The sequence below is a fragment of the Homo sapiens genome, chromosome 18 (genome assembly GCF_000001405.40).
Source record: "Homo sapiens chromosome 18, GRCh38.p14 Primary Assembly".
NCBI lineage: Eukaryota > Metazoa > Chordata > Mammalia > Primates > Hominidae > Homo > Homo sapiens.
The window spans coordinates 12,039,651-12,062,687 of record NC_000018.10 but is presented as its reverse complement, the minus strand read 5'-3'; the positions used below and the strand labels follow the sequence as shown (position 1 = coordinate 12,062,687).

General features: G+C 46.8%; 1 pseudogene, besides 4 other annotated features; it reads left to right on the top strand.

Annotated features, from left to right (window-relative positions):
* The first annotated feature begins 881 nt into the window (after window positions 1-881).
* On the top strand, window positions 882-6,225 carry LOC107985122 (kinesin-like protein KIF1C; annotated as a pseudogene).
* Window positions 1,533-2,072: an enhancer, noted in NCBI's record as "H3K4me1 hESC enhancer chr18:12060615-12061154 (GRCh37/hg19 assembly coordinates)". NCBI's record gives its function as "activates a minimal SCP1, AML or CMV promoter by ChIP-STARR-seq in naive H9 embryonic stem cells {active_cell/tissue: H9 hESC(naive)}" and the evidence as "EXISTENCE:reporter gene assay evidence [ECO:0000049][PMID:30033119]".
* Window positions 2,615-3,154: an enhancer, noted in NCBI's record as "H3K4me1 hESC enhancer chr18:12059533-12060072 (GRCh37/hg19 assembly coordinates)". NCBI's record gives its function as "activates a minimal SCP1, AML or CMV promoter by ChIP-STARR-seq in primed H9 embryonic stem cells {active_cell/tissue: H9 hESC(primed)}" and the evidence as "EXISTENCE:reporter gene assay evidence [ECO:0000049][PMID:30033119]".
* Window positions 3,155-3,696: an enhancer, noted in NCBI's record as "H3K4me1 hESC enhancer chr18:12058991-12059532 (GRCh37/hg19 assembly coordinates)". NCBI's record gives its function as "activates a minimal SCP1, AML or CMV promoter by ChIP-STARR-seq in primed H9 embryonic stem cells {active_cell/tissue: H9 hESC(primed)}" and the evidence as "EXISTENCE:reporter gene assay evidence [ECO:0000049][PMID:30033119]".
* Window positions 11,938-12,127: an enhancer, noted in NCBI's record as "active region_13099". NCBI's record gives its function as "activates an Ori minimal core promoter by ATAC-STARR-seq in GM12878 lymphoblastoid cells {active_cell/tissue: GM12878}" and the evidence as "EXISTENCE:reporter gene assay evidence [ECO:0000049][PMID:35858748]".

The following is a 23,037-nucleotide window of genomic DNA, read 5'->3' as shown; positions in this document are numbered from 1 at the left end:
CAAGATGATGATACCGAGAAGAAAACACAGACTGGAAGGAAGGAAAAAGAACAGGGGAGGGAATTAGAAGGCCTATTATGACACCTTTTTCCACTCCCTGATTCGTGAAATTTGAATAAGTCCAATATCAACAACAAAAAAAAAAGCAAAAAGATATACAAGTAGTCACATCCTAAATTTTGTTAATAGTGAGATAATACCGAGGGGGGCGGATCACCTGAGGTCAGGAGTTTGAGACCAGCCTGACCAACATGGCGAAACCCCGTCTCTATTAAAAATACAAAAATTAGTGCCCATAGTCCCAGCTACTCTACTTGGGGGGGGGGGCTGAGGCAGGAGAATAGTTTGAACCTGGGAGGCGGAGGTTGCAGTGAGCTGAGATCACACCACTGCACTCCAGCCTAGGTGACAGAGTGAGACTCCATCTCAGAAAAAAAAAAAAAAAGAGTGAGATAATATGCTGACACTCACACCTGGCTCATGCAGAGGAGGGCTCCCTCCAGAGACTGCAGGAGAAGGGGGAGGACTCTTCCTTGCCCTGGCTGTTCCTCCCTCGCTTCCACTGAGGCACCCGAAGCTTCCTACCCACCCAAGTCCTGGCCGGGCAGGCCCTGCAGTGCTCTTACTGCCCCTTCCCGGCCCCTAGACTTGCTGCTGCTGTCCCCACCAGCACTAATGTCAGTACAACCATCGCTACTGTTGTCCTCAATGCACTGGCCCGAGCTACAAAGCTCCTACCACCTGGCCACCGCCGCAGCCCCAACCCTGCCACGGCTGCAGCCAGCAGTCCTCCTACCACTCTGGCGCACTGCAGTCTCCGTAGCCACCACCAACCATTGCGAGGTGAGCAGCAGCCCCAGGCCATCAGAACCACAGCGGGTATGGAGGCCCTGCCATGTTCAGGATTCCCATGGAAACGCTATGCACTCCCTGTGCTCGAGCAGGAGCAGGAGGAGGTCACCCTCGAGAGTCTGGAGTCCGGGGAGAGGAGGAAGGCTCCTTCCTTGGAGGCCACTGCTGTTGCTGCAACCTCTGCCACCACCAGCAGGGCAGCCCCTGATAGTACCCCTAACCCGCCACCCCACTGTTGGCCCCAGGATAGCACCCCTGACACCCGGCCTTCACCACTGCAGTTTAGCACCCAACAGTGCCTCCAACCCATCCCCGCCTCGGACGTTGCAGCACCAGATAACTCCCCCAACCTGCCCCCTCCCATGGGCCATGCAGCCACGGATAGGACCCCCAGACAACACCACCCCCCACCGCTGCAGGTAGTGACGCCCCTGCTCCCCGCCATGAACAGTGCAGCCACAGATCCTTAAGGCCCCCAACCCACTCCCTGCGATAGGCAGTGCAGCCCCAGATAGTGGATGGCACCACCAACCATCCCCCAGCCACGGGGAATGACGCCCTGGATAGCACACCCAACCCGCACCCCACCACAGGCAACGTAGCCCCTGATAGCGCCCCTATCCCATATGCCGCTGCCGGCAGTGTAGTCCCCAACTGCCGGCAGTGTAGTCCCCAACTGCGCACCAAATTCAACCCCCACCACAGGCAGTGCAACGCTGATAGTGCCCCTAATTCACCCCCACTGACTGCAGTGCAGTCCCCCTCCAGTGCCCACAACCCACCTCACCACCCCGCCTGCCACTGGCAGGATACCCCCAAACTACCCCTTGCCATGGGCAGTGAATCGCCCAATAGTGCAGCCAACCCACCCTCTATCATGGGCAGTCTGGCCCTGATAGCGCTGGAAAACCCCCCACCAAGCACCTCCCTGCACCCCCCAACCTCTCCATCCCCACCCCCGCCACCAGCCATGTAGCATGCGATACTGCCCCTAACCTATGCCCTGCCATTGGCCTTGCAGCCCCAGATAGCGCCCCCAATAAGCCCCCCACCATGGACAGTGCAGCCCCAGATAGCATCCCCACCCCGCTGTGGGCAAAGAAGCCGGATCAGTCAGAGCCCCGACCGACCAGTCCCCACACCCCTACACCGCTGCCAGTGTAACCACAATAGTGGCCCCAACCTGCTCCCTGTTGCAGGAAGTGTAGCACCCATAGTGCCCCCAACCAGCTCTACTGCTGCCGGCAATACAGCCCAGGATAGTGCTGACAACCACCCCCCCACCGCCCCCCGCAGTGGGCAGTGCAGCCCCAGATAGCACACCTAAAGTAGTGACGCCCAGGATAACACCCTAATACACCTAAAGTGGTGCTGCCTGGAATAACACCCCAACCAGATCCCGGCCGTGGGCAGTGTAGCCCCGGATAGTGCACTTACCCCATTGCCTTTCTATACTCTGGCCGGCTGCAGTGTGCATTGCTGCCACCAACCCCAGCTAGGCGAGCCAGTGAGGTGAGTCAGTGAGGCCACCCGCAGTCCCGTAGGCTCTAGCCTCCAGCCTGCAGTAGGTGCCTCCTTCCTCTCTTCCTTTAGCCAGGCATGGAAGTAGCTCTCGCTGCCAGCTGCCTCCTACCACTCCATACGCTCTGCAATCTCCATCACCGTCACACACCATGCAGATGCAAGCCCTGGTGCCACAGGCTCCAGCCTCCAGAGTGTGGCAGGGGAGTCCACTTCCACCTTCTCTAAGCTGCAAACTGAGTGGCTGGACAGGTTGACAAAGAACAGCCTGCTACGGCGGGACTCCCCCTTAGCATGCATTATATACTGAGGTTATGCAAGTGAGGTTCCTGGATTGGATGAGAGAAAACTGCTAGACCTATTCTAATTGAACTTTATTTTCATGTTCTGATTGGATGAGAGCAAGTCTTAGAATAACCAATCAGAACGAGAAGATAAAGTCCAATCAGAGTTGGCCTAGCTGTTTTCCTTTCATTACAATCAGAACATGTAGTTTATAAACTTGGTATATAAAGCATGTTAAGGGGTCACGCCATAGCTGCTGCATTCCCAGCTTGGAGTAGGAGATGCCCTCTGCTGCATGCTGGAGGCTGGAGCTTGCGGGACTATGGCTGGCCTCGCTGGCTTGCCTTGCTGGCTCGCCTTGCTGCGGTTGGTGACAGGGACAGACACTGCAGTCTGCCAGAACAGAGAAAGGCAAAGGGGTAGGTGCGCTATCCAGGGCCGCACTGCCCGCAGCCTGGGGTGGGTTGGGGCCCTATCTCAGGCATCACTGCCTGCCTTGGGTGGCTGGTTGGGTGCGCTATCTGGGGCTGTGCTGCCTGCACCAGGGGGTGGGTTGGGGGCCCTATCCAGGGTTGCACTGCCCTTTGCAGGGAGCAGGTTGGGGGTGCTATCCCAGACTGTATTGCCGGCAGCAGTGAGGTGGGTTAAGGGTACTATCCAGGGCTGCACTGCCCGCGGGGGCAGGTGGGGGGTTTTGGGTTGAGCGGGCTATGGGGTGCTGCAATGCCCACGGTGCAGGGAAGGGGAAGGTTTGGGTGTGCTTTAGCTACGATTTTGCATTAGCTAGGATTTCCAGTACTATGTTAAATAACAGTGGTGACAGTGGGCATCCTTATCATGTTCCAGATCTTAGAGGAAAGGCTTTCCATATATCCCCATTCCATGTGATTCTAGCTGTGGGTCTCTCTCATGTGGTTTTTATTATAGTGAGGTATGTTTCTTCTGTACCTGGTTTTTTGATGATTTATAGCATGAAGCAATGTTGAATTTTATCAAATGCTTTTTCAGTTTCAATTGACATGATCATATGGTTTTTGTCCTTTATTTGGTTGATATGGTGTATCACACTGATTGTGTGTTGAATGACCCTTGCATCCCAGGGATACATCCCACTTAATCATGATGAATTATCTTTTTAATGTATTGCTGAATTTGATTTGCTGGTATTTTGTTGAGGATTTTTGTGTCAATATTAGAGATACTGGCCTGTAGTTTCCTTTTTTCATGTCTTTGTCTGATTTTGGTATCGGGGTAATAATGGCCTCATAGAGTAAGTTTGGAAGTATTCTGTCCTGTTTTTTAAAGTAGTGTGAGTAGGATTGGTACTAGGTCTGTGAATGTGTGGTGTGAAGCCATCAGCAGTGAAGCCATCGGTTCCTGGGTTTTTCTTTACTGGGAGACTTTTCCTGATGGCTTCAATCTGATTACTTGTTACCACCGATCTGTTCAGGTCTTGGATGTTTTCATGGTTCAACCTAGGTAGATTGCATGAATCTAGGAATTTGTCAATTTCTACTAGGCTTTCCAATTTATTGGCCTATGAAATAGCCAGTTATGATCCTTTGAATTTCTGAAGTATCAGTTGTAATGTCTCCTTTTTTTGTCTCTTGATTTTATTTATTTGAATCTTCTCTCTTTTTTCTTAGTTAGCCTGACTAAAAGTTTGTCAATTTTGTTTAACTTTCCAGAAAACCAACTTTTTGTTTAATCTTGTGTATTTTTTTCATTTCAATTTTATTCCTGCTACAATCTTTATTATTTATGTTGGGTTTAGTTTGTTCTTACTTTACTAGTTATTTAAGATGTATTGTTTATGTGAAGTTTTTCTTCTGTTTGGATGGTAGGCACTTACAGCTAAAAATTTCTGCCTTTCTACTGCTTTCTGTGTATCATAAGTTTTGGTATATTATGTTTTCATTACCATTTGTTTCAAGAAATTTTTCAATTGCCATCTTAGTATCTTCTTCAATGACCCACTAGTCATTCATTCAGGAGTGTATTGTTTAACTTCCATGTGATTGTATGGTTTCCAAAATTACTCTTCTTATTGATATCTAGTTTTATTCCCTTGTAGTCAAAGAAGATGGCCACAGAGACCGCAGTATGGTTAGAGTGGTAGGAGGCAGCCATCAGCAAGAGCTCCTCCTTGGCTAGCTGCTGGAGGCTAGAGCCTGCGGCCCAGCGGCTCGCCTCACTGTGGTTGGTGGTGGTAAGCGCAGCGCCCCTTGCAGAGTTTATCAGATCCCCCATTGACGAAGGCTGCAAGGCAAAGACCCCCGCTGGGCCACCATGCCTGACCTGAAGATGCAGGAGGTGAAGAAGATCTGCTATGAGTTGGCCCTGGCTTACTTCCACCACGGGCAGGCTGAGATTGAGGCCCTGGCCACCCTCAAGGTGTGGGAGTTGTGTCACACCTATGGCAAGCCAGAGGGCCCCAGAGATGCCTGGAGGGCTGTGGCCCGGGATTTCTGGGACACCGTGGGCGAGGAGGAAGGAGGTGGAGCTGGCAGTGGTGGTGGCAGCGAGGAGGGAACCCGAGGGGTGGAGGTGGAGGACCTCCAGGCCCACATCTGCAAGCTCATGGGGATTCTGCAGCAGGTGAAGCTGCAGAACAGCAGCAAGGACTGGGAGCTGCAGGCGCTGCAGGACCGCATGGTCTGCATGGAGAGGATCATCCCCCTGGCCCAGGATCATGAGGATGAGAATGAAGAAGGTGGTGAGTTCCACTGGGCCCCACCTGAAGGATGAGAGGAGGCAGCCCCCAGTGACCACATGCCCTCAGCCTGGTCCCCCTCACCACCACTGTCAAGCTGGGAGTGGGTGTCGCGGCTCATAGAGGAGGACCCTGCCTTCCATCGAGGTCACCTTTGCTGGCTTAAGCAGGAGCAGCTACAGCTGCAGGGACTGCAGCGCTGTGAGGGCTGGAGCGGGGGTGCTGCACAGGCCCCCAACCCGCTTTGTAACCCCTCACGATGCAAGCTGCGCTTCCCCTTCAAGAGCAATGCCCAGCACTGGAGTCCTGGCCAGGGATGGGGAGCGGGGAGGCTCCAGCTCCACCCCTTCCCCCTGAGGAGGTCACTCCCCCTCCAGCCACCCCTGCCCGCAGGCCTCCAAGTCCCCGAAGGTCCCACCATCTCCGCAGGAACTCCCTGGAGGAAGGGGGCCAATCCTGGGGAGCGGGTTCTGCACAGCCTGAACCCCAGCACTTCTAGGCCAAAAAGCACAACTTACATTCAGCAGCCCCAACTGTACCCAGCCCAGCGGCCCCCAAGACCCCGCTACTCCCCATACACTACTCCCCCACAAATGAGATGGCAGCGCTCTGCCCCTGACCTCAAGGAGAGTGGGGCGGCTGTGTGAGTCCCACATCCTGGGCAGAGGGCCTGGTGGAGTCCCTTGCTAGGAGAAGGGAAGACACCTGAGATGCTGCTTCCCCCAGAAGCACTGGGGCAGGGAGGCTCAGGAGATGAGAGAGAAGGTCCGAGCAGGTGATAGAAGACATGGGGGAGACCGAGGCGGAGGCTGAGGAAGAGGGCGCGGAGTTGCCAGGAGCAAACCAAAGTGAAGGGAGAGGTAGGAAGCTGCCTCGGGGCCACCCCTTGCAAGGGAGCGGGTCCCACAAATGCTGCTATGGGTGAGGTGGGGGCTAGGGTGCTGCATAGCCAGTGTTTGAGTTTCTTTTCAAGTAGGGGAAAGGGTAAGAGGACTGAGAGTGAGACAAGCTCTCCCCAGCCTCTGTCCGTCTGGCTGTCTGTGGTGGTTTCTGTTTCTAAGGAGGCATGGTGGGATCATAAGTCATTCCCCTCCCCTTCCAGGCCTCCTGCTATATTTGGGGACCTGACTGGTTTGGCTGGAGTCCCAAGAGGATGTGGGCCCTTTAATAAAGGATAGCAAACGGGGAAAAAATATAACTTATTCTTCCATTTTCCTCTTGACAGGCATTTTATAAATTTTAATTTTATGTCTAGTAGTTTCTTCATTTACCATTTTATATTTTTGTAGTGTTCACTCTGGTTATTACAGTATTCATTTTCAACTTTTTTTCTCTACCTTAAACTAGGATGTAGGAAACAGGACTTTTCTACATCACAGGCAGTGTAAGACTCTCAAAACAGTTTAACTTTGTTTACCCTTATCCTGCCTTTTTTGCCATTGTTCTGATATACTTGGTTTTTACGATTGTCAGATTCTAATAGACATTACTGTAGTTGCGTTGAATTTCCTTTTCAGGTTTCTTCATTCCATCCTGCAGTTCTGTTCTTCCATCAAATATTATTTTTCTCCAACATGAAGAACTGTAGTATTTCTTGTTGTGCGTTGTTTACTGTTGTCACTTTTTTTTTTTCAGTCTTTATTTGGAAAATATATTTATTTTAGAAGAGTGTCCTTGAAAGGTTTAGAATTTTCTGGTTGCCTTTTTGACTTTTTAAAATGTCATTACATTTTGATTTTCTCATTTACAAGTTACCTGTTCAAAATTTGTGCACTGTCTTCTGACTTTCATAGTTTCTCTTGAAATGTTTGCTGTCAGTTTGGCTGTTGAGACGGCCTACTTCTATCATTAGTTTATACAATTTATTTCTCTGCTAGGTAAGAGTGGGATAATTTCATACTGTGTTAAGGATAAATTTCTTTCTATGCTCGGAATAGGAATTCTTTGATATGTGTTTTCTGAACATCTTCTCCCACTCTGGGTTGCATTTTTATTCTGTTTATCTTTTGATAAAATGAGTTCTTAATTTTCATAGAGTATGGTTGATGTAATTTGTGCCCTGTTTAAGAAGTCTTTGCCTATTCTGAAGTCATGAAGAAAAACTTTTTATGGCATTTTCTAAAACTTTTTGCTTTAATTTCCAAATTTAGATATGTACACTGTCTAAGATGGATTTTGCTTACACTTAAGATGGCAATAAATCTCATTATAATGAACCTAGAACAATTTATTGAAATTATTATTTTTCTGAAACCTTGTCATGAATCAAGTGTCCATATCCATGTGGATCTATTTCTGAACTCTCTCTTTCCTGTTCTGTTGATGCATTTGAAAATCCTTACACCTATGTCACACTACCTTAACTAGAAATACCAAACATTTGTTGTATTGAATTCATAATCTGTTTCTAAAACTATATTTTTATTTGTATCTTTCTGTGTACATAATTGTTTTACTTTATTATTGTAAGAACTTTTAATAATATTGAATAAAATTGGAGATAGCAGGCATCCTTATCTCGGTCTTAGTTTTTTAGTTAAACACTTTCCATATTTCACCACTAAGTACTGATGTTTGCTGTAGACATTTGTAGACATCGTTTTACCATTTAGAAAATTCCTTTCTATTTCTAGTTAGCCAAGAGTTTTTTCTCATGCTTTTCTGCATCTACTGATATGATCCTATGATCATCTCTTGGTTTTTAAAACTATTTATTGTTACCTATATTTCCACATTTCAGAAAATTCCATCATGGTTTCCATGGCCTATTCTTTTTTTAAGCCTGTTAAAAGCCAATTTACCCTCAGATTCTATTCCTGATTATTTTCTTTTCTCAGTTCCCTCACAACCTTCTGATTCACTCTTGATGGGCTTGAACACCACTAAATTATCAATGTCTCTCAAATCCTTATTTTCATTCTTGATCTCCATATTATGCTTCGAATTTAGTATATTTAAGACCCATCTTGCTGGAATACTGTGTTTAATCTATTTTTCCCTGATTTTCCTGGCTTACTTTGTGACTCTAGTATCTGAGCCACTGTTCATGGGGATCACCTGAGGAAACATTTTTTCCTCTCCATGAATTGGTTCCCACGTTTTGCTGCTCTCTGTCTTCTATTATCAGTGCCCTATTTTCATCCCAGTTTCAACTACAGTAGTTTATGTAAAGGGTCTTGTTTTATACTTTATCTATTCCCTCCTCTCTCAAGAGAATTGCTTCTATAGAGGAAACCTGGCAATGTGATTTCATTCTATGCTTACGTCTCACCTTCTGCTCTCCATTTTCCATAGCAGTGATCCCTAGAAGAGGCGTACACTTAGAGGATCTTCAGAAAGATCCAACTGGTCATCTCCTATATACTCTGCAGAAATTTCAAGTATAACAGTTCAAAAATCTTTCCATTTTCTACACATCCTTATTGTCTCTGAATTAAAGGATTAGAACCCAGAATACATATTGCAATAAAATAAATAAAATATTAGGCTGTTTTCTTCATTTTAAAATCCAAATAAGAATTATTTATAATAAATGAATTTATTATTTATTTTTATAATTTTTAAATATAAATCTGTAATGCTGAATAATATTCTAGAAAATAGTAAATGATCAAATGCTTTGGAGTCTGTTGCTCTGTAGCCCATTCCCTGAATACTTCCCTGGCCATTTTTCTCATGAAGGCACCAGGCCATATTCTCATCTCCTGTGCTGTTTGCCCTTTTGCTAATTTTTTACGTGCTGGAGGCCCCCACCTTTGCCTGTGCCATGGCTCTGTGCTTATGAAGGACACAGCATACTAATACTTCAACCAACAGCTGTGCTTCCTCAGTGAAGCTCAAAACAGAACCAACTTACTTCCTTATTTATAGAATTAGCCAATCTTCTGTGTATTTTCACCATTGTAACATATTTTCTTACCAGACTTTATGCTCCATGAATACAAGAAGGTTTTTAGTAATCTTAGTATTTCCAGAAATTATAATCGTTTCAGGTATGTTGTGCAGACTTGATAATTTTTTGCCTCTAAATGAATTCACAGAAGTAGCACTAAACACATAAACAGATGTTCATGTATATTAAATGTTCTGTGGTTTTAAAGACTATTAAAAAAAATAAAGCAAGATTAGACTGAGTGGGCTTCTTGAAGGAATAGTCATGGGAAACTTTACTGAGATCAACAGAAGAGCAGAAATTTGACTGAAATGACTGTGAGACATGAGGATTCTGCCTCTTTTTAGCAGGGGTAACAGCAGCTGCTAGCCATGGGCAGGAATGTGCTTGGTGGTTTTGAGGAATAACAAAAAAAGTCGCAGTGGCTGAAGGGAGAAGGCAGGAGGTGATGTCAGGAGGCAGTAGACTCCAAAGGTGAGCCTATCGTAAGCTTTATTCAGTAAATTCATTTTATTCTTAATTTAGTGGTAGATTTTCAACAAATGAGCAACGTCTGGTTTATGTTTGTATGGGAGTTTTCTCTATATTTCTGTATATTTTCTCTATAGAGAAAATACTAGGCAGGGCATAACATATAGAGCTCATTAAGGAGCTGTGGTCGTTTCCCTCCTGAGTGATTGTGGTGGCTTGGACAAAACCGAAAGGCCTAAAGGGAATGAGACGAGATTTGATTCTCTCAATATTTAGAAAGTGGGGTGATAACCATATAACGAATATTTGTAACATCAGAGTACCAGAAGGAAAGGAGAGAGGTATTTAAAGTATTTTAAAAAATAATGGCTGAAAATGTCCCAAATTTAGCAAAAGTTATGAAACTACACATTCAAGAATCTGAGATAACATCAAATAAGATAATTTTAAATAAATCCATGGTGAAGGCAAATCATAATTAAATTTTTGAAAACTAAAGACAAAATCTTCAGAGTAACCAGAGATAAATAACACATTCCCTACATAAAAGAATGGCAGATTTCTCATCTGAATCCATGGTGGCCAGAAGGAAGTGTAGGACATTTTCTCAGATACTGAAAGAAAAGAACCATAACAAAATTCTCTATCTTTTGAAACTATATTCATGAACAAAGGGAAATAAAAAGCTTACCAGACAGGAAAACTAAGAGAAAATGTTGCTAGCAAACCTACCTTTAAAAAGATGACTAGAGGAGGTTCTCTAAATAGAAAGTATATAACGCAGGAAGGCTGGGAACACAGGAAAGAAAGAACATTGGAGGTTGGCAGAAATAGGGGGAAATGTAATAGAATCTGTTTCTCATGAGTTTCTGACATCATATTTGATGTTTGGAGAAAAATGCTCTGTATGTAGAGGAAATACTTAATTCTATTTAAAAGGGGGGAGGGTAAAGGGATCTAAGTAGAATGAAGCTTTCTACATTTCACTTGAAGTGGTAAAATGCTGACTAATAGACTGTGATAAGTTACATATGCACACTTTAATATCTAGAACTGCTAAGAAAACGATAAAGAGTATTGTGCTTAGAAACACTGCAAATAAACAAGATGGAATCTAAAAAATGTTGATATAACCAACAGGAAAATAAGAAAATGGTAATAGATGAATGAAAAACCGAGAAAACAAAACAAATAAAATAGCAGCCTAACATAGCAATATTTATCTTAAATGTAAATAATCAATGTGTATCAAAATACAAATTGACAGAGTGGAAAGAACAAGAAACATAATTCTAAAATATTTATAGGAAATTCATAACATAGTTAACAACATGAGTTGATAAAGAATAGAAAAAGATATACCATACAAACATTATTCAAATCAAAGTAAGAGTGGCCCCATTGATATCACATAAAGTCGACTCTAGAGCAAAGAAAACTCGTGGGCAAAAAGATCACTATATAACGATAAAAGTATCAATCCAACAAAAATGCAGTTATCCTAAATATGTCCCCACCAAACAAAAGAACCTCAAAGTACACAAAATAAAACTGACTGAGCTGAAAGGAGAAATAGGCACATTTTAAATTCTAGTTGTAAGTCTGACCACCTCACTCTCAGCAGTTGGTAGAATCACTAGGCGTTAAATTACTAGCAGACATAGAACAGGAGAGCACCATCAACCAATAGGGTAGAAGCAACATTTACGGAACAGTGCCCAACAGCAAAATATACACTTTTTCTCAAGTGCTCATGGACTATTCAGGAAGATAAACCATATCCTGGGCCATAAACCAACCTCAGCAGGTATAAAAGAACTGAAATCATTCCGAGTGTGTTTTCTGGCCATAATGAAATGAATCAAACTATGAATTAATTCATAGTAGAAAGACAACAGCAAAATATCCAACCACTTGGAAATGAAACAACAGACTTCTAAATAATATTTGGATCAAAGAAAAAGCCTCAAAATAAATTTTAGAAATTCATGGAATTGAATAAAGCCCTGCTGATAGGGAAATTAACAGCACTAAATGTTAACCTCAGAAAAGAGGAAAGGCCTCAAAACGATAATTAACTTTCTACTTCAAGAAACTAGAAAAACAAGGAGGGACGGGACAAGGTTGTGGCTGATCCCAGAGAGGTAGTGGCAGCCACCGAGGCAGAAAGTGGGACTGGCGCACACCCTGAGCACATCGCAACCCCTGTGCACCCAGCTGTGAACCGGGGGAGCCAGATCAGAGGCCGGTGCCAGCTGGGCCAACTCCAACAAGGACACATCCCTAGCTGTGGGTAGTAAGTCCAGTTATAAATTTTTCTCCCTTCTTCTGTGGATAAGCTGGAACAGATCCCTGAATTGCACTGATACCGAAGATGCGTGCATTATAGAAAATTGTTGTCAAGCACCTTAGTGGCCATTTTGAACCTCAAAGCTCAGAGGAAGCTAAAGGTTTGCCACTTGAAAAAGGGAACTGAGATCTGCAACTACAGCTACTCCAATAAGATAGTGGCTGTGGAGCTCCAAAGGCAAAGGCTAATAGCGTGCCTGGGAGATCCTTTGCACTTCCACAACATTTGGGACTTGAAGGTACTGCCTGGGATCAGGAGATCCTCCAAGCCCTGCAGGCTTGTGAGCACTACCAATAGTTACTTGGCCTAGGCAGGGAGTGCTGTGACTTTTCTATTTTAAATTTATACAATTTATTCAGCAAAGTAATGAGATATTGTGGTTGCAAGTTTCAGTATTTGCCTAGCTTCCCTTTTCATTTTGCAGAATTAGAACAACCTCAAATACTTCAAACTGCATTCCAAACCAACGCATATAGCAGCTAAAGTTCTGAGGGCATTTAAGTGGAGTTATTCTATGAAAGATCATTTTAGATTTTTTGGAGTGGTGAAAGTTTAGGATGGAAATGAAAAGGTAAAAATATTGTATCTGCTCTGCCTTTTCAGGATTTCAGGTTTTTTAACAGAGGAAGGGTGAGAGATGCCTGTTTCCAGGTCATTGTGCCATGGTCACACCTGTTGAATAGCTTCCAAAGGGGGTTGGTCAACTGACCATCTGCAGTGAAATGCCCTGATATTCCTGGGTTGGCTTTACAGCAAGTCTCTAAATGCTGGGAGCACATAGTCAGTTCTCACTGTGCAGACTTTTCTAGAGGAGCTAGTGTGTAGATTGTATTGTTACTAGGCAGAGGGAAAAGGTGAGGAGGATAAACTTTTCTTTAAAATCTCTTATATGTCCATCCTGGACCCTCAGTCATGTGGGATCCCAGTCATGCCATATTGGGTGTGCTCCCAAGTGGAGCAGGCTGCTGTTTACCAAAGAGAGAGAAGGGCCATGGCAAGAGGCAGTCTTGACCTGCCCCACAGGCTTATGACACGGGACCAGAGGGGTCTCTCTCTGTCTCCTTCCAGAAACCAGCTTTGGACTCCATCTCTGAGGGGGCATATTTGGATAAAGTGAGTGTTAATGGAGGAAAAAAAATGTCAAAGGGTACATGATAGATTTAGAACCCTGAGCTGGGGTTTCCTGGTAATCAAAGAGAGAGTTGCATTTCAAGTTCTGTGTGAAGATATTATTAGTTTTGGTGCCTGCCTGTTGACTTTTACACTTGTGGTGATTTGGGAACTCTAATTTACTTTGCCAGGTTTCTTTCATCTTTCTCTGGGATTGGTAGCTCTAGAAGATGTTGGCAATTTGCTTCCTTCTTTCAGCCTCAGTTTTCTGTTTAAAATGAGGCAGTTTGGAAGGGTGGCCTCTGAAGTCCTGGAGCCATCAACCCCTGCTCCCCTTTGGGTGACCCTGGCAAGGCTTGGCACTTTCACTTCCAGACACAGAAAGCTCTGTGCTTACCTGGGTAGAATCTGATGTGAGCACCCCATAGAGGGAGGACTAAGGATTCGTGGTTGAGAAAAATGAAAAGAGTTTATGTGGGTTTGCTGAGTAATCATCATGGGAAAATTACTCATGTCTATTTTTCCTTTGCTTATTTCATTGCTATAAGCATCTCTTTCTCTTCCCTTACACTTTAACCCCCCTGAGTCCCATCAAGTCCCAGTGTCACTGGCAGGCCTCAGGCATGTGCAGGTCCGGCAGGGAGGCAGGGAGAGCTAGAAGTACTGAGTTGGCCATTAGTAGAACTCTTACTGCCATGCCAGGAACCTAGATGGAGACTGCAGAGTGGATGGAACGGTAGGAGGCAGCTGGCAGTGAGAGCTGCTCCATGCCTGGCTACAGGAAGGGAAGAAGGAGGAGTCACTTGCCACAGGCTGGAGGCTGGAAGCTGGAGGCTGGAGCCTGCGGCACCACTGCTCACCTCGCTGTGGTTGGTGGCAAAGACTGAGACTGCAGCCAGCCAGAGCGTAGAAGGGCAACAGGGTATGTGCGCTATCCGGGGCTGCTGGTTGGGGGTGTTATTCTGGGCGTCACTACTTTAGGTGTGCTATCTGGGGCTGCGCTGCCTGCATGCTACGGGGAGTGGGGGTGGTTGGGGGCACTATTACCCTCTATACAGCTGGGGGCTGCGGGGCTGGCCGCTTGAGGGCGCTATCCGGGGTTGCACGGCCCTTGGCAGGGAGCAGATTGAGGAAGCTCTCCTGGGCTGCACTGCCTTCATTGGAGGTCGGGTTGGGGGTGCTATCCTAGGCTGTATTGCTGGCAGCAGTGGGGCAGGTTGAAAGTGCTACTGAGCAGGTTGGGGGCACTATTGGGGTTACACTGCCGGTGGTGTGGGGGTTGGGGGGACTGGTGGGGCACTGACTGGTCTGGCTGCATTGCCCATGGTGGGGAGCGAGGTGGGGGTGCTATCTGGGGCTGCACTGCCCACGACGGGGGGCTTGTTGGGTGCACTATCCATGGCTGCACTGCCCATGGTGGGGGGTGGCTTGGCAGCACTACTAGGACTGCAATGCCCGTGGCAGGGGATAGGTTAGGGGCAGTATCTTATGGTGCTACACTGCCAGTGGGGGACGGGGGGGGTGCAGAGATGTGTAGGGGGGTTTTCGGGTGCTACTGGGGGCCAAACTGCCCATGATAGAGGGTGGATTGGGTGCCCTATAGGGGGCTACACAGCCCATGGCAAGGGGCAGTTTAGGGGCAATACCCACAGCCGGTGGCAGGCAGGGTGGTGGGGTGGGTTGTGGGCACCATCAGTGACTGCATGGAAGTCAGTGTGGGCAAGTGAGGGGTGCTATCAGCTGCTGCACTGCCTGTGGCGGGGATCGGGTTTGGTGCACTATCAAGGACTACACTGCTGGCAGCAGCATATGGGTTAGAGGCACTTTTGGGAGCTACACTGCCCATGGTGGGGTGTGGGTTGGGTGCGCTATCCAGGGTGTCATTCCCCAAGGCTGGGGGATGGTTGGGGGTGCTATCCACTATCTGGGGCTGCACTGCCCATGGTGGGGTGTGGGTTGGGTGCGCTATCCAGGGTGTCGTTCCCCAAGGCTGGGGGATGGTTGGGGGTGCTATCCACTATCTGGGGCTGCACTGCCCATCATGGGGAGTGGGTTGGGGGCCTTAAGGATCTGTGACTGCACTATTCATGGTGGGGAGCAGGTTACAACACTTTCTGGGGCATCACTGCCCATAGTGGGGGGTTGGTTGGGGGTCCTATCCATGGTTGCATGGCCCACAGCAACGAGCGGGTTGGGGGCACTATCGGGCTGCATTGCCCATGGCAGGGGGCAGGTTGGTGGCACTATCTGGTGCTGCAGTGTCCGAGGTTGGGGGCTCTATCAGGTGCTACACTGTGGCAGCGAGTAGGGAGCGGGGGCGTTAGGGGCAATATCCCGGGGCTATACTGTTGGCAGCAGGCAGCAGGTTAGAGGCACTATCAGGGGCTGCCCTGCTGGTGGCAGCAAAGGTTGCAGCAACAGCAGTAGCCTCCAAGGAAGGAGTCTTCCTCCTCTCCCCGGACTCCAGACTCTGGAAGGTGACCTCCTCCTGCTCCTGCTCGAGCAGGGCAAATGCACACTGTTTCTTCAGGAATCCTGAGCATGGCAGGGCCCCCACACCCGTGGTGGTTCCTGGGCCTGCACCCTCTTACTCTGTGTTATGGAGACTGCCTGGGACCCCTGGGCCTGCAGGACAGGGAGTAGCAGACACCACAGGGGGATGGGGCTCTGTGGGTGGAGGCACCAGGATCGGGAACCAGCACTTGGGTGGGAGGGCTGGCTGGGTCTGAGTTGCTGCTGGTTCTCCTCCCCAAGGACAATAGCTCTGGGGAGCCCAGCAGTTCCAGTGGAGTGGGGAGTTGGGCAATGCGTTGTTTCCAGTCCCCAGTTCCTGGCCAGCTTGGGCCAAAAGGAGAGGCTGGACTTTGGAGGGTGGGTATGAGTGCCTTCAATGAAACCGGCCCCTGCCACCCAGTGGCCAGCATGATAAGGTGAGGCTCTAACGCTACCACTCCCTGCATCCTCCTCTAGGCTTTTCTGGCTTTGCCTGCCTAGCTGCTCTGTGCCAGGAAAAGGAGGGTCACCTGTCGCACACTGGAGGCTGGAGCCTGCAGATGGCCTACGGCTGCCGCTTGCCTTGCTGCATTTGGTGGCTGCTATGGAGACTGCAGCATGCGGTAGGAAGACAGCTGGCTGTGGCCATGGCAGGGGCAGTGCTGCGGCAGTGGTCAAGATGGTAGGAGCCTTGTAGGGTGGGCCAGTGCATTGAGGGTGACAGCAGCAGTCGTATTGCCATTGGCACTAGCGGCGGCAGCAACAGCAAGTCCGGGGGCTGGGAAGGGGAGGAGTAGGAGCACTGCGGTGCCTGCCCAGCCAGGCCTTGGGTGGGTAGGAAGCTTCAGGTGCCATACTGCCTCAGTGGAAGTGGTGGAGGAACAGCCAGGGCAAGGAGAAGTCCTCCCCGTTCTCCTGCAGTCTCTGGAGGGTGCCCAATTCCTGCTGGCGCATGAGCCAGGTGTGAGTGACAGCATTATCTCACTGTTTTGGTTTTCCCCCTGAGATGGAGTCTTGCTTTGTCACCCAGGCTGGAGTGCAGTGGTGCGATGTCAGCTCACCACAACCTCCACCTCCTGGGTTCAAGCAATTCTCCTGCCTCAGCCTCCCAAGTAGCTGGGATTACAGGCATGAGCCACCATGTCCGGCTAATTTTCTATTTTTAGTAGAGATGGGGTTTCTCCATGTTGGTCAGTCTGGTTTTGAATTCCTGGCCTCAGGTGATCTGCCCACCTCAGCCTCCCAAAGTGCTGGGATTACAGGCAGGAGGTACTGTGCCCAGCCAAATTCTTTCTTGCATGAGGTCCAAGAACTCGCTCTTGAGGTCTGGATCAGGACCCCTTTCTGATAATACCTGTATTGTATTTTGGAATTACATAACTTGCTTGGTTTCACAGGATCACAGCTGGAGAAGAATTTTGCCTGGGAATGACTCATACCTTGAGTCTCAACCATATGTGATTTAGATTATATTTATTTTTTATTTTTATTTTTTTGAGACAGGGTCTCACTCTGTTGCTCAGGCTGGAGTGCAGTGGCACAATCTCTGCTTACTGTAGCCTTGACCTCCTGGCTCAAGTGATCTGCTCACTTCAGCTGGGACTGCAGGCCTGCACCACCACTCCTGGCTAATTTTTAAAATTTTTTGTAGAGATGGAGTTTTGCCATGTTGCCCAGGCTCATCTTGAACTCCTGAGATCAAGTGATTCTCCCAGGATCACTTGTGGGGGGCTCCCTAAGTGCTGAAATTACAAGTGTAAGCCACCGCACCCAGCCTGAATGATATTTAGATGAGACTTTGGACTTTAGGTTTTAGAGTTGATGCTGAAAGGAGTTAAGATTTTTCAGGTTGTAGGGATGGACTGAACGTATTTTGTATGAGAGAAGCACATGAATTTTGAGGGGTCAGGGATGGAATGTTGTTAAAAACTGAATGTGTCCTTCAACATTCATTTGTTGAAAGCCTGATCCCCATGTGATGGTATTTGGAGGTGGGGCTTGTGGTGGGCAATTAGGGTTAGATTAGGTGGGGCCTTCATGATGGGATTAATGTCCTTATAAAAAGAGAGACACACAAAGTTTCCTCCCCTGCATCTGTATCTCTCTCCATGCATGCACCAAGGGAAGGCCAGATGAGGACAGGGCCAGGAAGAGTGCCCTCACCAAGAATCTGACCATGCGGGCCCCTGCAACTTTCCAGAACAGTGATAAATCAGTGTTTGTGGTTTACATCACCATCTACGGTAATTTGTTAGAGCAGGCCAAAGTGACTAAGACGCTTCCCCTAGGTCCCAATAGTTACTTGTTTAGGATGAAAGTTCTCTAAAAATCCTTTCAAATGCGAAAGTTTTTCCAAACCAAAGGATAGCCCCAGAAATATACCTTTTGTATACGTGACTTAAAACCAATAGGCCTTTTTATGGCTGAACCATGGATAGCCCAGGTGTCCCCATGAAGGGTGCAGAAGCTGCAGCTTCCTTAATCCAGAGTCAACTCCCAAAGATGGCCAGAGAGAAAGAAAGCACAAGCCCTCGTTGTCACAGGCATTAAGAACAGTGTTTCTGCAAACTTGTCTCTGGTCTCCCACAATCCTGAGCTGCCTCCAGTCACACAAACCTGCTAATCCGTGACACCAGACTGGTGATACTGAGATGAGACTTTCTTGGTCAATAAGGCAACGAGGGGACAGATGACAGAGGTCCCTTATGGGCTGAGAGACCTTATTGAGACAAAGTCCCCTGAGAGCTGGAACAGTCGGACAGAAAATGTTCCTCGTGCAGCCCTTTCCTGACAGCCAGTCACATCCACATGCAGGCCAGGGATCCGTGCTCCAGCCAGCAGAAAGCCAGGGAGAGAACTCTCTCACCAGATCCATGCCATGCTGTCAGGACACACAATAAAACAGAAGGAGAATTTCACTGGACTTTTCAGAAATTGGTGACCCACAGCAAAATGGGTCCAAACAGATGCTGGTCCAGTGAGAACCGTAAGATCACCAGTGTGTGAGGCCGGGTGGAGCAGAGGCTGCTGGGAGAACCGTAAGCTCACCCGCTGCTGGGACCTGTGCCTGTGCTCTCCCCTGTGACCAATGACAGAAAAGACAGAGGAAAACAATGGCTGTCCCTGGGAGGAAAGGACCCAACACATGAGTGCTGAAAACCGAGTTCACAAGGGTCACCCAAAGAACGAGCTCTTCCAAAGATGTTCTTCTACTAACTCGAATTTGGAAAGGGAAATACAAAGATAGACTTTTTACCACTCTCGCTCGACCAGATTCTGAGCAGAATTGTGGGGGGCTGGTGTGGTAAGAATTCCTCCTTTCGTCAGCGTGGTCAGTGTCGAGAGATCTTGGTTGCACCCTCAGGAGTGAGCCCCAGTCATTCCTTTGCGGCTGCCAAAACTCTCTAACTGGAAGAACTTTTCCTCTATCCTCTTATGTTCACTGCCTGGGGCCCTGTGAATTAAACTTTTTTAAAAAACAAATTAACAGGGAAAAAGGCAAATATTTTTAAAAAAATCACTGGGCACGGTGGCTCATGCCTGTAATCCTAGCACTTTGGGAGGCTGAGGCAGGTGGATCACCTGAGGTCAGGAGTTCAAGACCAGCCTGGCCAACATGGTGAAACCATATCTCTACTAAAAATATAAAAAAATTAGCCAGGCATGGTGGCAGGCGCCTGTAATCCCAGCTACTCGGGAGGTTGAGGTAGGAGAATCGCTAGAATCCTGGGGATGGAGGTTGCAGTGTGCCGAGATCTGCTATTGCACTCCAGCCTGGGCGACAGAGTGAGACTCTGTCTCAAAAAAAAAAAAAAAAAAATTACGTGGCTGAGTGCAGTGGCTCACATCTGAAATCCCAGCACTTTGGGAGGCTGAGGCAGGGGATTGCTTGAGACAAGGAGTTTGAGACCAGCCTGGGCAACATAGCAATACCCCATTTCTACAAAAATAAACAAATTAATAACAAAAATGTTTAAATAAATGTTTTATGTGCATGAGAATTTACAGAAAAGAAGTGAAACTCAAAAAAGTGGTTAGACTCGGGCTTACCTGCCATTTTAACAGAGAATAGGAGGTTTGGGCTTCATGGATGGGAAATCATGAAGAAGTGGCTAGGAACATATGGGGGATGCTAACAGAAGGTGACGGTGAGTTTAGCAAGGTTTGTTCATGCTCACTCCCTCTCCAGTGAGAAGAGCCACTCTCCCCTCCTGGCATGGAGAGAGGGGGCACCTTCACAGGGGAATTTATGCCCTGCTTTCACACAGAAAAGGGGAGGGCAGACAGCTCGTCCTGCATGTGCCCATTCTCAGTTTCCTCAGCTCAAAATAATCCTTATGCCAAAGTGGCATATTTGGGGGTGTATATTCAGTATATAAAGCACTTAGCACAATTCCTGGCCATATTGAGTGCCTATATTAAACGTTTCTTATTACTTTTTTGTTTACCATAGTTAGGTTCTGAGCTGGGTGCTGGAGTTACAGTATTATAATGACATCATTCCTGTCCTGAAGAAGTTGACAATTTGAAGCAAAGGGAGACAAACATGAACACAAACAGGTACACAAGGTCATCAGTGTTCCATGCTGTAGAAACACAGCCGAGTGCTGGGTGCACAGAAGGAGCAGTGCATTATGTTGGGGTGGGGACTCTCAACATAGCTGCAGTGAGTTTTGATCACCACTATATTGTTGCCTGAGTGACACAGCGAGACTCATCTCAAAAGAAAAAAAAAAACACAAAGATCGCCTCAACCTCCCAAGTCTCAATCTTCCCATCTCAGCCTCCTGAGTAGCTGGAACTGCAGGCACATGCCACCACACCTGGCTAGATTTTCTATTTTTTTGTAGATATGGGGTCTCGCTATGTTGCCCAGGCTGGTCTCAAACTACTGGGCTCAAGCAATCCTCCTGCCTCAGCCTCCCAAAGTGCTGGGATTATAGGTATGAGCCATCATGCCTGTCTTGATTATCTTTGATAAAAATGGAGGTGATTCTAGAGAGAAATTTTGTTTCAGTGGAAAACTACAACCCATCCTGGTGGGTTATCAAATACTTGTCATGTTTACTGTCTTTGAGTTATTTTCACCTCTTTGTAAACTGGATCTGGCCGTCTTGTGCATGTTGTCAGTAATGAGTGTTTCCAGTATTCTCCCCTGTCCTAATTTGGCATCACTGAGAACTAAAACTGCCCTTTTCCAGAAACCCTGAAACCTGAAGCTGAATCACTCAGTGTAACTTTAACAGAATCATCACCACAGCAGTTTGGGTGACTCAGAAAGTTCACCAGAGCACAATCCTCCAAGCGCCAGGAAATAACAGGACTGCGATGCTGTAACTGCCATCCTCATTCCGCTATGTAAGGATCCTTGGAGACCAATATCTAGAAATCTGAACTAATGGCCCTCTGAACTTAGAAACAGGATCTATAGTCAGCACCGATGGTTAATCTTTGTATTTCTTTTGTATCCATAGAAATGCCCTCATTCAATGCCTGATTGCTTGCACACATAAAGACCCACCTTTGGGGGTGCCCCACCCCCACCTGCACCACCACCTCCTGAAATGAGACACAGCTGTTTAACTGGACTGAGATATTCCCAGGGCAGAGAGACTGGTTTAATGGGAACAATCAAATAACTTCGCTTCTGGAATGTGACACATCATAGAGAAGTTTCAGACAGGGAAATGAAGGGCCTAAATGATGCCACTCCACAATATGCCATTGTGGCATAAGGATTATTTTGAGCTGAAGGTAATGGAGGATCCACAGGTGCTGAAAGAGTTCTCTGTCTTCTCCTTTTCTGCCTGAAATCAGATCATAAATGCCTTCTTGTGAAGGTGGCATAAAGTACCCTGTGAAGGTGTCCCCCTCGCCCCCACCAAGAATAGAGTGGCTCTTATCACCGGAGTTAGCACCAAGATGAGTCCACATAAACAAGCCTTTCTGAAATAGCCTTGTCTTCCATCACCTTCCCCAAATACTCCCCAGTCACTTCCCAGTGCCTTGTCCTCCCTCAAGGTCAAATCCTCTTTTCTTTGTTAAAGTTATCAGCCCCTGAGTCTCGCTGCTTCTTTGAGTTCCACTTCTTTTCTGTGAATTCCTATGCACATAAACATTAACAAAAATTGTATACTTTTTCTCTTATTAATCTTTATTTTCAGTGTAATTTGCAGGTCCCCATTAACTGAACCTAAGAGGGTGGAGGAAACATTTTTCCTCACCAGCAATATATCTCTCACTTAATCCTTAACCTATGAATAGGTACCATGATTATCTTTATTTCACTGATGATGCCACTGAGGCACAGATAATGTAAAAATCCTGTCCAAGGTCTCTCTCATAGCTAGTAACTGATGTAGTTGGGACATATTAAATAAATGATGATTGGCATGTTCAGTCGAGTTAAATAAGATTTTTCTGAGTGTTCTGGGAAGATTTTGAAAATAAAGCCATGGCTCCGTTCTTCAAATATTTATTTAATTGGCAATACTTGTTACCAACACAAAATTGCACACGTCAGTGTCCGGAAGCATAACTCAGATTCCATCTTATACTTAGCCAAACCTGATTAAATGGTTTCCCAAAGTTACTGTTGTAGCCATACAAAGACAAAAACAACCTCTTGTCAAATCAGAAGAGCCACAGAAAACAAGAGAGTACCTCAAAGTCAACCAGTGACTGCTGAAAAACATCTATCCAGAAAAAAAAAAAAGAAAAAAAAAAACAGGCATGGCTTTGGGAAGAAGACATGAATTTGAGATCTAGCATGAGGAAGTATGGAGAGGGAAACTGGTCTAAAATACTGTTACATTATAAATTCACCACTGGCCAAGTGTCATGTGAAAAGACAGATGAAGGACTATGAAGAAATTAAAACTGATTTGCTCAGACAGTGAAGACTGAATGTGTTTGTAAAAGCTTCATACATGGACAGTTAAATATGTTGATCACTGCATTTTGTTTGTAACTTGCTGGTCATTGATGTTTCTTAAAACTGTTGTTTAAGGCATTACAGGTATTTTTCTGCAACAGTCAATATGAGGATTTGTACTACAAGAGATAAAATATATGCTATCATTGTTTTTTGTGTGTTTGTTTTTTGAGATGGAGTTTTGCTCTTGTCACCCAGGCTGGAGTCCAATGGCGCAATCTCAGCTCCTGCAGCCTTGGCCTCCTGGGTTCAAGAGGCTCTCCTGACTCATGCTCCTGAGTAGCTGGGACTACAGGCGTCTGCCACCACACCTGGCTAATTTTTGTATTTGCAGTAGAGATGGGGTTTCACTATGTTGGCCAGCCTGGTCTTGAACTCCTGACCTCAGGTGATTCGCCTGCCTCGGCCTCCCAAAG